The following is a 15,201-nucleotide window of genomic DNA, read 5'->3' on the forward strand; positions in this document are numbered from 1 at the left end:
GCAAGTGCTCCAGACAGCACTCACAACTAACTTTAAATCCTTATAAATAAGCCAGGTATGGTGGGAGGCTGAGGTGGGAGGGTTGCTTGAGTCCAGGAGTTTGAGGCTGCAGTGAGCTATGATTGTACCACTGCACACCAGCCTGAACAACAGAACAAGACTCTGTCTCTATTTTTTTTAAATCTTTATAGCTTTATGCCTTGTGTTTATGTAATCATTAAACATTTTAAAGAGTTATTTACTTTTCTTTTTTTTTTTTTTTTTTTTTTTTTTTGTGATGCAGCTCTGTTGCCCAGGTTGGAGTGCAGTGGTGCAATCTCGGCTCACTACAACTTCTGCCTCCCAGGTCCAAGCTATTCTCCTGCCTCAGCTTCCTGAGTAGCTGGGATTACACGCACACACCACCATGCTTGGCCAATTTTTGTATTTTAAAAGAGGTGGGGTTTTATCACATTGGCCAGGCTGGTCTCAAACTCCTGACCTCAAGTGATCCACCTGCCTCGCCCTCCCAAAGTGCTGGGATTACAGGTGTGAGCCACCGGGCCTGGCCAAGAGTTACTTACATTTTTAAATGACACATTATGGCATTTTATGGGAGAAATTCTTCTGCTGTCGGCAATATTCGATTTGAGGATTTGACCAGGTCTCTGGACATCTCCACACGTGTCAATGGGCTAAGGTGCTTTAAATAAACAAGGTTATCTGCATAGTCCACAATAATCTCTTAATTATCCCTTCTGTTTGTACGGCATGCTAAAAGTTTTGAAGTACTTACAGGTGCATTATCTCATTTGCCCTCTCTACACTGCTGGGGAAAGGTGACTGCCTTACCAGTATCTGAATCCAGGTGGCTAAGCTCTCCTGGCAAGGGAAGTATGGTTAGTACACTGCAAACCCCGAACTGGAAGTCTGACACACAGCATTCTCTGTGTATAATAGGATGGAGAAAAACATGAGAACTTTGAAGTTTGGCTCCATCACCTACCAGCTGTGTGACCTTCAACAAGTCATACAGTATCTCTGAGACGTAGTTTCCTTGTCTGTAAAATCAGGATGAAAATAAAGCTGTACTACACCTTAAATAAGTTAATACAGATAAGGTCCTAGAACTGGACCTTAGCACATAACAGGCCCTCAGTAAATGGTCATATTGTTATTATTATCATCGTGGAGCTTTGGGAATCGGGTATTGCAAATTTAGAATAATAGTGGCAGGCTGGGGAAGAATCTATAAAGACAATACCTTGTATGGTATGATATTAAAAATTAAAACCTGGGAGGTGGTCTGGTCAAATAAATTAAGGTACATCCATATAAGTACAATAACATATTATTCCTGGCCAGGCATGGTGGCTCACGCCTGTAATCCTAGCACTTTGGGAGGCCGAGGTGGGCAGATCATCTGAGATCTGGAGTTTGAGACCAGCCAGGTCAACATGGTGAAACCTTCTCTCTACTAAAAATACAAAAATTAGCTGGGTGTGGAGGCACGTGCTACTTGGGAGACTGAGGCAGGAGAATCGCTTGAATCCAGGAGGCAGGGGTTACAGTGAACTGATATCGCACCACTGCACTCCAGCCTGGGCAACAGAGCGAGACTGTCTCAAAAAACAAACAAAATAACATATTATTCCTAAAAAGAATATGCAAGACTAAAATGTGTAAATAGATGGCCCACAGACATGCTTTCTTGGTCTACCAGCTGTTAAAAAAAATTGGTAGAGAGTAGGAGGAATAGACTGAATGTTCCTCCCAACTTGTATTCAGTTCCACCTCTGGAGCTAAGGAGAAGCCAGGAAGGGGGAGTCCGACAGCAGGGCCTGAAACCTTCATGTGACACGGTAAGCTCACCTGAAATCTCTAGGAAAGGAAGCAGCCACAGGGACTCTCACTCTCCAGTGGGCCAGCAGTGAGGGGATCAGGAACTCAGAGGCCTGGTATAGGGCCCAAGACGCTGGGATTCCCAATAGGAACAGGATCCCCTTAGGTCCCATGCATGCAGTCTCCTTTTGAGGTCCTAGTAGGGCCTTTCTGGCCTGGGGAGAATGTGGGTGATATGGTTTGGCTGTGTCCCCACCCAAATCTCATCTTTAATTGTAGCTCCCATAATTCCCTCATGTTGTGGGAGGGACCCATGAGAGATAATTGAATCATGGGGTGATTTCCCCCATGATTCCCCCAGACTGTTCTTGTGGTAGTGAATAAGTCTCACGAGATCTGATGGTTTTATAAGGGGAGACCCCTTTCACTTGGCTGTCATTCTTCTGTTATCTGCCGCCATGTAAGAAGTGCCTTTCACCTTCCACCATGATTGTGAGGCCTCCCCAGCAACATAGAACTGTGAGTCCATTAAACCTCTTTCTTTTGTAAATTGCCCAGTCTCAGGTATGCCTTTATCAGCAGCGTGAAAACGAACTAGTACAGTCTGAGAGCTCTGTGGGGTGAGAGGACTGGGAGATTTCCCCCATCCCTGAACATGGGAGCTGCCAACAACTTCAGCTCTGAGACCTCTTCCCTTCCTCCTGGTGCTCATCACAGGAGTGGCATCCTGCCTGTTACCTTACCTTTCTCCACTGCATAGGAGACCCTAAAGGCTCCCCCTGAAAGCCAAAGAGCTATGAGTGAGAATAAGAAAATGTCAATAGACTTAAGGGGACCGAGGTGCCAGAGAGAAGAAGAAAAAGTAGGATATCTCACATAATGGTAAATGAATGAATGGAAACTTTATATCGCCATCATTGTCACCACCATCACTATCACCATTGTCACATCACTGTCACCATCACCATCGTGATCATCATAATCATCATCACCACCATCACTATCACCAACACCAGCACCATCATCATCATCACCACCACCATCACTGTCACCATCATCACCACCATCACTATCAGCATCATCACCATCACCATCATCACCACCACCACCATCATCATCACCACCTTCGCTATCACCATCACTATAATTACCACCATCACTATCACTATCACCATCATCACCACCACCACCATCATCACCACCATCACTATCGCCACCACCATAATCACCACCATCACTATCAGCATCATCACCATCACCATCATTGCCACCATCACTATCACCATCACCATCATCGTCACCATCACTGTCACCATCACCATCAGATCATCATAATCATCATCACCACCATCACTATCACCAACACCAACACCATCATCATCATCACCACCATCACTGTCACCATCATCACCACCATCACTATCACCAATACCAACACCATCATCACGACCATCACTATCAGCATCATCACCATCACCATCATCACCACCACCATCACCACCATCACTATCATCATCACTATAATCACCACCATCACTATCACCATCACATCATAACCACCACCACCACCACCATCACTATCACTATCACCCTATCACCACCATCATTATCACCATCACCATCACCATCACCATCATTATCACCATCACCATCATCACCATCACTATCACCATCACCACCACCATCAACATCACCACCATCACTATCACCACCATCACTATCATCACCACCATCACCATCATCATATCACCACCATCACTATCAGCATCACTATCACCATCTTCATCATCACCACCATCACTATCACCATGGTTCCACCTTAGAAGAATTGTCAATGGCATAAAAAGACATTGTATTTGGCTGGGGACAGTGGCTCATGCCTGTAATCCCAGCATTTTGGGAGGCTGAGGCAGGTGAATCACCTGAGGTCAGGAGTTCAAGACCAGCCAGGTCAACATGGTGAAACCTTCTCTCTACTAAAAATACAAAAATTAGCCGGGTGTGGTGGTGCACGCCTGTAATCACTGCTACTCATGAGGCTGAGGCAGGAGAATTGCTTGAACCCAGGAGATGGAGGTTGCAGTGAGCCAAGATCATGCCACTGCACTCCAACCTGGGTGACACAGTGAGAATCTGTCTCAAAAAAAAAAAAAAGAAAAAAAAGAAAAGAAAAAGAAAGAAAAGAAAAGACATTGTACAACAACAGCAAATCATAATTTTAAAAAATTAATGGAAGAGGGAATGGTAAACATTGATAACAAAACAAGAGACCTAGAAGATTAAAAAAAAAAAAAATCTCAAAACCCAGAGAACAAGTATAAAGAGATGGGAATTATAAGAGGAAGGGCAGGACAGTTAGAGGAGAGATCCAGGAGTTCTAATATGTGAACTGTGAGTTCCAAGAGGAAGGGGAAAGAGATGGAGAGGAGGAAATATTTAAAGAAATAATAGATTCCCTTTTCTGACAGTATAGTGAGCAAAACACTCAGATCAACCCTCCTGCAGCAACAATTTAAAATGCTGTACAAACCACACAGAAGGTTTTTTTTTTTGTTTTTTTTTTTAAGTGTTACTGAGCTGAGTAAGAAAGCCTCAGAGGCTAAAATCAAAGTGAAAGCAGAAATTCAGAGTTAAACTGACACACTGTGAGGCCTCTAGCTGCCTCAGGGGCATCTGCAGAACCCTTGTAAATCTGACCTTCTGGCCGGCACAGTGGCTCACACCTGTAATCCCAGCATTTTGGGAGGTTGAGGTGGGTGGATACCTGAGGTCAGAAGTTCGAGACCAGCCTGACCAATATAGTGAAACCCTCTCTAATAAAAATACAAAAATTAGCCAGGTGTGGTGGCACATGCCTGTAATCCCAGCTACTCAGGAGGCTGAGGCAGGAGAATCACTTGAACCTGGGAGGCAGATATTGCAGTGAGCCGAGATCGCACCGCTGCACTCCAGCCTGGGTAGCAAAGTGAGACTCCATCTCAAAAAATAAACAAAAAATAAAAATAAACAAAGACCAGCTATATGCTTATAAGAGACACACCACACTTTGGGAGGATGAGGTGGGCGGATCACAAGGTCACGAGATAGAGACCATCCTGGCCAACATGGTGAAACCCCATCTCTACTAAAAATATTTTTAAAAAATGAGCTGGGCGTGGTGGTGCGTGCCTGTAATCCCAGCTACTCAAGAGGCTGAGGCAGGAGAATAGCCTGAACCAGGGAGTTGGAGGTTGCAGTGAGCCGAGATTGTGCCACTGCACTCCAGCCTGGTGACACAGTGGGACTCTGTCTAAAAAAAATAATAATAATAAAATAAATAAATAAAATAAATAAAAAAAGAGACACACCCATTAAGGACCCAGAAAAGATCAAAGATCAAAGTAAAAGAATGGAGAAAGATTTACCACGCAAGTATTAACCATAATAAGTATAGCATATCAATATTAATAGAAGGCAAAATAGATTTTAAGCCTAAAAGAATTAGAATTACTAGTGATAGAGAGGGTCATATATGCAATAAAAGCAAGGTATAACCATTCTAAACTTGTATGCACCTAATAATATAGCCTCAAATATTTAAGGCCAGGCTGGCTGCAGTGGCTTATGCCTATAATCCTAGCATTTTGGGAGGCCAAGGCAGGAAGATTGCTTGAGTTCAGGAGTTCCAGACCAGCCCAGGTAATATAGTGACACCCTGTCTCTACAAAAATTTAAAAAATTAGCCAAGCATAGTGGTACATGGCTATTTCCCAGTTACTTGGGTGGCTGAAGGGGCATGATCACTTGAACTGGAGAGGCTGAGGCTGCAGTGAGCCATGATTGTGCTGCTGCGCTCCAGTATGGGAGACAGAGCAAGACCCTGTCTGAAAAAAAAAAAAAAAAAATAAAGGCTCAAAACTAAGAGAACATAAAGGAGAAACTGAGGAATCCATCCTCACTGCTGGGTGTGAGTGTGGGTTAAGTATATCTCTTCTAGTAATTAATAGTTCAAACAGCTGAAAAATACAATTGTAGCAGTCTAATATATGAGTAGTCTCCAAATGAACCACTTCTCCAGGTATCCATTCCCTTGTGTAACCCCTCCACTTAAATCTGGATTGGGCTGGAACTTATTTTGACAAATAGAATGTGGCAGACGCAATATTCTACCAGTTCCAAGTCTAAGCCTTAAGAAAGCCTGATAGCTTTGTTTTTGTGTTTCTGGAGCCCTGTGAGTCATGTAGGAAGTCCAGCTACTCTTTTGGAGAGACCCATGGGAGAGGTAAAGGGCCTGAGAGTACGTGGGGAGGAAGAGAGTCCTACTCATCCCAAGGTCCCAGCTGAGCCAAGCCTTCAGTCAATCTGCTAGCAGAATACAGTCGTAGGAAATATTAGCCTGCCTGCCCAGCTGAGTCCAGCCCAGGGTGCAGATTCATGACAAAATAGTGTTTTAAGCCACTAAAATCTGTAGTGGTTAGTTATGCACCAACAGATCACTGAAGCAACAGTGAACAAGTTTGGCCTAATAAATACATTTCGAACTGTGTGTCTTCTATGGTTTGGCTGCATCCCCACCCAAATCTCACCTTGAATTGTAGCTCCCATAATTCCCACATGTTGTGGGAGGGACTTGGTGGGAGGTAATTGAATCATGGGGCGGGTCTTTCCCGTGCTGATAGTGAACAAGTCTCATGAGATCTGATGGTTTATGAAGGGGAGTTCCCTCCACAAGTTCTTCTTGCCTGCCACCATGTAAGACATCCCTTACTCTCTCACCATGATTGTGAGGCCTCCCCAGCCATGTGGAACTGTCAGTCAATTGAACCTCTTTCCTTTATAAATTACCTGGTCTTGGGTATGTCTTTTTTTTTTTTTTTTTCTGAGACAGAGTCTTGCTCTGTCAACCAGGCTGGAGTGCAGTGGCACAATCTCGGCTCGCTGCAACCTCCGCCTCCTGGGTTCAAGCAATTCTCCTGCCTCAGCCTCCTGAGTAGCTGGGATTACAGGTGCACACCACCGTGCCTGGCTAATTTTTGTATTTTTTTTTTTTTTTCCAAGAAAGAGTCTCACTTTGTCACCCAGGCTGGAGTGCAGTGGTGCGATCTCAGCTCAGTGCAGCCTCTGCCTCCCGGGTTCCAGTGATTCTCTTGGCTCAGCCTCCCAAGTAGCTGGGACTACAGGCACACACCACCACATCCAGCTAATTTTTGTATTTTTAGTAGAGATGGGGTTTCACCATGTCAGCCAGGTTGGTCTCAAACTCCTGACCTCGTGATCTGCTCGTTTCGGCCTCCCAAAGTGCTGGGATTACAGGCTTGAGCCACCGCACCCGGCCCTATTTTTGTATTTTTAGTAGAGATGGGGGTTTCACCATGTTGGTTAGGCTGGTCTCGAACTCCTGACCTCTTGATTTGCCCGGTGTGACATCCCAAAGCACTGGCATTACAGGTGTGAGCCACCACATCCGGCCCTAGGGTATGTCTTTATTAGCAGCTTGAGAACAGACTAATACAGTGTCCAAGAATTAGAGAATACATGTTCTGTTCAAATACAAGAAACATTTTCAAAAACTGACCAAATACTAGGACACAAAGCAAGTTTCAATACATTTTAAAGGAGTGGTATCATACAGGCCACATTCTCTCACCATGTTGCAATTACATTTGAAATCATTAAAAGATATCTTCTAAAAACTCCACAGATACATAAGTTAAAAATACACTTCTAAATAAACTCATCAAGCAAAGATGAAATGTAAAGAAAATTTGATCTATTTAAGAATGAACACCAGTGACATTACTACATATCAAAACGTTCATGATGTAGCTAAGGCTGAAACTAGTGGGAAATTCATAGGCTTACAGACTTATGTTATAAAACAAGAATGGTTGCGGCCGGGCATAGTGGCTCACGCCTGTAATCCCAGCACTTTGGGAGGCCGAGGCGGGCGGATCACGAGGTCATGAGATCGAGACCATCCTGGCTAACATGGTGAAACCCCGTCTCTACTAAAAATACAAAAAATTAGCCGGGCATGGTGGCGGCTGCCTGTAGTCCCAGCTACTTGGGAGGCTGAGGCAGGAGAATGGAGTGAACCTGGGAGGCAGAGCTTGCAGTGAGCAGAGATCGCGCCACTGCACTCCAGCCTGGGGGCTGACAGAGTGAGACTCCGTCTCAAAAAAAAAAAAAGAAAAAAAAAAAGAACAGTTGCATGTTATTGAGCTCACCATGTCAGCATGTCAGCATGTCAGCATGTCAACATGCAAAATAAGGACTTAAGTTGGACATGGTGGTGCACGCCTATAGTCCCAGCTACTTGGGAGGCTGAGGTGTGAGGATCGCCTGAGCAGGGAGGTTGAAGCTGCAGTGAGCTATGATCACGCCACTGCGCTCCAGCCTGGGCGACAGAGTGAGACAGTCTCCAAAAAAAAAAAAAAAAAGAAAAAAGAAAAAGGAGGACTTAGAAAAAGAACAGCAAAACAAACCTTATGAAGGAAAAAGGCTAACAGGATACAAGAGGCTCAAGCGTGGCCAAGTGAGTCAGGTGTGAGACCTTTAATGATGTCAGCACCAGGCAGGTGCAAACCAAACCTTTTGCGGGGTGTTGGCCAAGGATGGGACTAACCTAGGGCAAGCAGAATAGCTCATGGAAGCCAAGCTATGTTTCCAGCCTGCCACTCCATGAGACTCACTTTAACCTCTGACTCCTGGGTTCAAGCGATTCTCCTGCCTCAGCCTCCTGAGTAGCTTGGATTACAGGCACATACCATCATGCCTGGCTAATTATTTTGTATTTTTATTAAAGACGGGGTTTTGCCATGTTGGCCAGGCTGGTCTCAAACTCCTGGCCTCAAGTGATCCTCCCACCTTGGCCTCCCAAATTGCTGGGATTACAGGCGTGAGTCACCATGCCTGGCCATCCTTAATAATCTTAAAGGTCTCTTAAAAATATTTTAACTATCTTACTGCTCGGATTGAACGTATTTCTTTTTCTTTTAGGGACAAGGTCTCACTCTGTCACCCAGGCTGGAGTGCAGTGGTGTGATCATAGCTCACTGCAGCCTCGACCTCCCAGGCTTAAGTGATCTTCTGCCTCAGCCTCCTGACTAGCTGGGACTACAGGCATGTGCCACCACACCTGGATAACTTTTTATTTTTTGTAGAGATGGGGGTTTCACTATGTGGCCCAGGCTGGTCTTGAAACTCCTGGACTCAAGCAATCCTCCTGTCTCAGCCTCCCAAAGTGTGGGGATCACAGGCATGAGCCACTATGCCCTGGATTGAACATATTCCTTTCTGTCTGGGGCAGGTTGCTGTGCAATATGACTTCCTCTGGTCCTTCTTGTTGTATCATCAAAATAGGCTAATAGAGTAGCCTTCAAAAACTGTAGATTGAATTACTGTTACTGATTCTTCACTCTCTTATAGTTGGACTATACATTCACACCTTTGACACTGACTCCCAGCAGGCAGAAGTGTTCTTCCTCTCCCATTGTCTTTGGGCTTGACCTTGTAACTTACCTTGGCCAGTGGGATATCAACAGATATGAGGCAAGGAGAGGCTTGAAATAGGCATGCCATATTTGGGTTGGCTTGGCCTCTTGTGCCCTGGAGAGGAGACGTCCGAGGAGGAGGAGACACACACAGCAGACCTAGACACACACACACAGCAGGCCTAGAGATACACACAGCCGACCTAGACACACACACACAGCAGGCCTAGAGACACATACAGCAGACCTAGACACACACACACAGCAGGCCTAGAGATACACACAGCAGACCTAGACACACACACAGCAGGCCTAGAGACACATACAGCAGACCTAGACACACACACACAGCAGGCCTAGAGATACACACAGCAGACCCAGACACACACACAGCAGGCCTAGAGGTACACACAGCCGACCTAGACACACACACAGCAGGCCTGGACCCAACACATCCCAGCTGAGCACAGCCTAGATCAGCTGATTCGCAGTCAAACCAAAGGCATGTGACTGAGAAGAAGTGGCTATTGTTTCAAGCCATTGGATTTAGGATAGTTTGTTATGCAGTGTTACTATGGCAATAGCTGATGAATACAATTTTTTTTTTTTTTTTTTTTTGAGATGGTGGGAGTCTCACTCTATTGCCCAGGCTGGAGTACAATGGTGTGATCTTGGCTCATTGCAACCTCCACCTCCAGGTTCATGTGATTCTCCTGCCTCATCCTCCTGAGTAGCTGGGACTACAGGTGTGCACCACCACGCCCAGCTAATTTTTGTATTTTTAGTAGAGATGAGGTTTCCCTATGTTGGCCAGGCTGGTCTTGAACTCTTGACCTCAGATGACCTACCTGCCTCAGCCTCCCAAAGTGCTGGATTACAGGCTTGAGCCACCATGCCTGGTCTGATGAAAACAAAATCTATTACCTGATTTCTTTGCAACTGTAGTTCTAGGGTGAAAGGGCTTTCCCCGTGTTAAAGGTGACAGGCCAGGAGCTGCTTTATTATCTAGCCTGTCTGGGGAATGGGATGTTGTTTTTAGTCAAATACCCTGGTGCTGCCTGTATTCTCCCTGGATTCACAGGTTGCAAGAATAAACAAGGTCCTGTTGACTTTACCTTCTGATTTTTGTTGCCATGGAAACCAGCACCTGGATAATTGCAGGGCCTCAGCCCCTGCGAGGTGCCCTGAGGATAGCTAAGTGTCTCCAGGGAGACCGTGCTCATAGCCCGGCCCCTCGTTGAGATCGACCGTGTTCCACGGATATTTACAGCAGCCACTGATTGTCTGCGTCCCCTGTGTGTTTGCCACTGTGGCTCTTCCGTCCCTGAGCGCTGCCTCTGTCTGGTTCATCCTAAAGCCAAAAACCCCCCAAAGGCCAGGCACAGTGGCTCATGCCTGTAATCCCAGCACCCTGGGAGGCTGAGGTGGGTGGATCACCTGAGGTCAGGAGTTTGATACCAGCCTGGTCTACATGGTGAAACCCAAATTAGCCAGGCATGGTGACTCACACCTGTAATCCCAGCTACTTGGGAGGCTGAGGCAGGAGAATCGCTTGAACCCGGGAGGCAGAGGTTGCAGTGAGCCAAGATTGCACCATTGCACTCCAGCCTGGGCAACAAGAGTGAAACTCTGTCTCAAAAAAAAAAAAAAAAAAGAAAAGAAAAGAAAAAAGGCTGGGTGCAGTGGCTCATGCCTGTAATCCCAGCACTTTGGGAGGCCGAGGCAGGCAGATCACGGTCAGGAGATTGAGACCATCCTGCCCGACATGGGGAAACCCCATTTCTACTAAAAATACAAAAATTAGCCAGGCGTGGTGGTGCATGCCTGTAATCCGAGCTACTTGGGAGGCTGAGGCAGGAGAATTGCTTGAACCGGGAGACAGAGGTTGCAGTGAGCTGAGATTGCACCACTGCACTCCAGCCTGGGTGACAGAGCAAGACTCTGTCTGAAAAAACAAAAAACAAAAAACATAAAACAAAAAAAAACCAAAAAAAACACAAAACCTCAAAGAGTGGATGCTTACCCCTTCAGCCCTCTCAAAGCCCCATGTCAGAAACAGAGCCTCAGTTTCCTCATCTGTAACATGCAAAATCCTTGAATCTCTTTTAAGTGCCAGATCTGTGTTCAGTCCCTTTAGAAGACACATGCATTAGTGCATGGCTAACCTGGCGTGGGGACAGGCAGGGGACAGGAACAGCTCAGAGGCACTCCACTGTCCCCGGCAGAAGCCCCTCAACAAATGTCTGCTTCAGCCATGAAGGAAAGAGGCATGAAGAGGCATCCATGAACTTAGAGATAGATGCCAAGGGGGCTGGTCGCAGCTGTTGTGCTCATGGCCAGTGTCTTAGTCCATTTGTGCAGCTACAACAGGATACCCGAGGCTGGGGAATTTATAATGAATAGAAATTGATTTCCTCACAGTTCTGGAGGCTGGGAAGTCCAAGATTAAAATGTCAGCACCTGGCTGGGCACAGTGATTCCCACCTATAATCTCAGTGCTTTGGGAGGCCGAAGCGAGAGGATTCCTTGAGGCCAGGAGTTTCGAGACCAGCCTAGCCAACACAGTGAGACCCAGTCTCTACAAAAAATTAAAAAAACAAAACAAAACAGGCCTGCTAGCGTGTGCCTGTAGTCCCAGCTACAGGAGGCTGAGGCTGGAGGATTGTTTAAACCCAGGAGCTTGAGACTGCAGTGAGCTACGGTCACATTACTGCATTCCAGCCTGGACAACAGAGTGAGACCCTGTCAATCAATCAATCAATCAATCAATACCAGCATCTGGCAAGGGACTTCTTGCTGCAACCTGCCATGGCAGAGGGACAAAGAGAGTCAAAAGGGAGCTGAACTCACCCTTTTATAATCCCACCTGTGGGGTAGAGCCCTCTGGCCCAATCACCACATATATATATATATATATATATTTATATATATTTATATATATTTATATATAATTATATATAATTATATATAAATTTATATATAATTATATATAATTATATATAAATTTATATATAATTATATATATAATATATATATTTATATATAAATAATATATATAATTATATATGTATTTATTTATTTATTTGGAGATGGAGCCTTGCTCTATCACCCAGGCTGGAGTGGCACAATCTTGGCCCACTGCAACCCCCGTTTCCTGGTTTCAAGTGATTCTTCTGCCTCAGCACCCCCAAGTAGCTGGGATTACAGGTGCCTGCCACCACCACATCCGGCTAATTTTTGTACTTTTAGTAGAGATAGGGGTTTCATCATATGGGCCAGGCTGGTCTCGAACTCCTGACCTCAGGGGATCTGCCTGCCTCAGCCTCCCAAAGTGCTGGGATTACAGGCATGAGCCACTGGGCCCGACCGAGCGTGTGATTTTGAGCGAGAGGTTTCACGTCACTGCGTCATTTGTATCTCGTGTCATATGAAGATCATGATAGTGATAATAATTAACATTTTTTGAGAGCCGACTTTGTGCCGGGCACTCTCCTTAGGACTTTATGTGTATTATCTCCTTGGATCTTGATTTTAGTCCTATTGTGCTATTGTACATACTCTTATTGTTCCCACTTTACAGATAAGGAAAAGCGAGGCCCAGTGAGGTTAAGGAATTTGCTTAGGATCACACAGCCAGTTACAGGCAGAGCCAGGATTCAAAGACAGACAGGTGGCCCTGAGCCCATGCTCTGAACTGTGACACTCTGTGCCACATGGGAGTGGTATGAGTAAGGATCAGCCCGGTGGTGACGAAGGAGGGAGCTGCCTTTCATGGCTTTTTTTTTTTTGAGACAGAGTCTTGCTCTGTTGCCCAGGCTGGAGTGCAGTGGCGGGATCTTGGCTCACCACAACCTCCACCTCCCAGGTTCGAGCAATTCTCCTGCCCCAGCCTCCCAAGTAGCTGTGATTTCAGGTGCCCCCCTCTACCACTCCTGGCTAATTTTTTTGTATTTTTAGTAGAGACAGGGTTTTACCATGTTGCCCAGACCTCAAATGATACGCCGGCCTCGGCCTCCCAAAGTGCTGGCATTACAGATGTGAGCCACCGCGCCCGGCCCTTTTCATGGCTTTTAACACCCAAGACTTATTTCTGGTTTGGGGACTCTCTTCCATATCATCTCACCCCAGGATCCAGGCTGACGCAGCAGCCACTGTCTTGAACGTTGTTGGCCACTGAGCCAAGAGAAAGAAAGAGCTTGGGAAAGTTTTGTGCTGACAGGTGCACGGCCTGCAAGTGACACACGAGTTCTGCACACAGCGTACTGGACAGAACGGTGCTGAGGAGTTGCGTGTGTCTGCTTGGCTAAGATCCTAATCAATTATTTAATCACACATGAATGGAGGCATTGTGGTGAAGGTGCCTGGGAGGCGTGGTTAATATCCGCAACCACTTGTCTTTATGTAAAGGACGTCGCCCTCAATAACGTGGGTGAGCCTCATCTGATTTGTTGTTCCTTGAGAGCAAACACTGAGGCTTCCTGGAGAAGAAATTTTTCCTCTAGACTCAAGACTGTGGCACCAGCTCCTGCCTGGGTGTCTAGCTTGCCAGCCTGCCCTGCAGACTACAGACTGGCCTGCCCCCAAGATTGTGTGAGCCAATTTATTAAAATAAAACCCGGCTGGGCGTGGTGGCTCATACCTGTAATCCCAGGCCTCCCACTTTGGGAGGCCAAGGTGGGCGGATCACCTGAGATCAGGAGTTCAAGACCAGCCTGGCCAACATGGTGAAGCCCCGTCTCTACTAAAAAAAAAAAAAAAAAATAAATAAATACAAAAATTAATCGGGCATGGTGGCGGGTGCCTGTAATCCCAGCTACTCGGAGGCTAAGACAGCAGAATCGCTTGAACCCAGGAGGCAGAGGTTGCAGTGAGCCGAGATCACGCCACTGCACTCTAGCCTGGACAACAAAGAATGAAACTCTGTCTCAAAAAAAAAAAAATCCCGTTACCAGTGTATGTATATAATATCATTAATATATTTGGTATTATATTATGTTATAGAATAACTATAAATATATTACAGTTGTCTCATAGTATTTATGGGGACTTGGTTCCAGAATCCCCCATGGGTACCAAAATCCCTGGATGCTCAAGTCCCTAATATAAAATGGTGTAGTATTTGCATATAACCTACGCACATCCTTCTGTACACTTTAGATAATCTCTAGATTACTTGTAATACCTAATTCAATGTAAATGCTGTTCCAGACCAGCCTGGGCAACATAGTGAGACCCCATCTCCACTAAAGAAAAATTTACAAAAAAAAAAAAAAGATAATGGCCGGGTGTGGTGGCTTACCCCTGTAATTCCAGCACTGTGGGAGGTCGAGGCAGGCAGAGCACTTGAGGTCAGGAGTTTGAGACCAGCCTGGCCAACATGGCGAAACTCTGTCTCTAATAAAAATACAAAATAATTAGCCAAGCGTGGAGGCATGTGCCATCACAGAGTGATACCCTGTCTTAAAAAAAAAAAAAAAGAAAGAAAAAGAAAAATTGAGCCAGCCACGGTGGTGCTCACCTGTAATCCCAGCTACTTGGGAGGCTGAGGTGGGAGGATCACTTGAACCTGGGAGGCGGAGGCTGCAATGAGCTGAGATCGCACCAATGTACTCCAGTCTGGGCAACAGAGCAACGCTTGGTCTCGAAAATAAATAAATCAATAAATATAGTTGTTAGATTGTATTTTTAAGGTGTTTATTTTTTATTGTTGTATTGTTATTTTAAGAAATATTTTCCATCCCTGGGTGATTGAATCCATAGATGCAGAACAAGCAGCTATGAGGGGCTGAGAGTGTGTGTGTGTGTGTGTGTGTGTGTGTGTATACATAATTTATTAATTACATATAAAAAAATCTCCTACTGGTTTTGTTTCTCTGGAGAACCCCCAACTAATACAGTACTAGTTATG

The 15,201-nt window shown here is 45.5% G+C and overlaps 2 annotated features.

The window, feature by feature from the left end:
• Window positions 4,427-4,546: a silencer, noted in NCBI's record as "silent region_17887". NCBI's record gives its function as "represses an Ori minimal core promoter by ATAC-STARR-seq in GM12878 lymphoblastoid cells {active_cell/tissue: GM12878}" and the evidence as "EXISTENCE:reporter gene assay evidence [ECO:0000049][PMID:35858748]".
• Window positions 9,501-10,001: an enhancer, noted in NCBI's record as "H3K27ac hESC enhancer chr7:2896347-2896847 (GRCh37/hg19 assembly coordinates)". NCBI's record gives its function as "activates a minimal SCP1, AML or CMV promoter by ChIP-STARR-seq in primed H9 embryonic stem cells {active_cell/tissue: H9 hESC(primed)}" and the evidence as "EXISTENCE:reporter gene assay evidence [ECO:0000049][PMID:30033119]".

This window comes from Homo sapiens, chromosome 7 (genome assembly GCF_000001405.40).
Source record: "Homo sapiens chromosome 7, GRCh38.p14 Primary Assembly".
NCBI classification, from domain to species: Eukaryota; Metazoa; Chordata; class Mammalia; order Primates; family Hominidae; genus Homo; species Homo sapiens.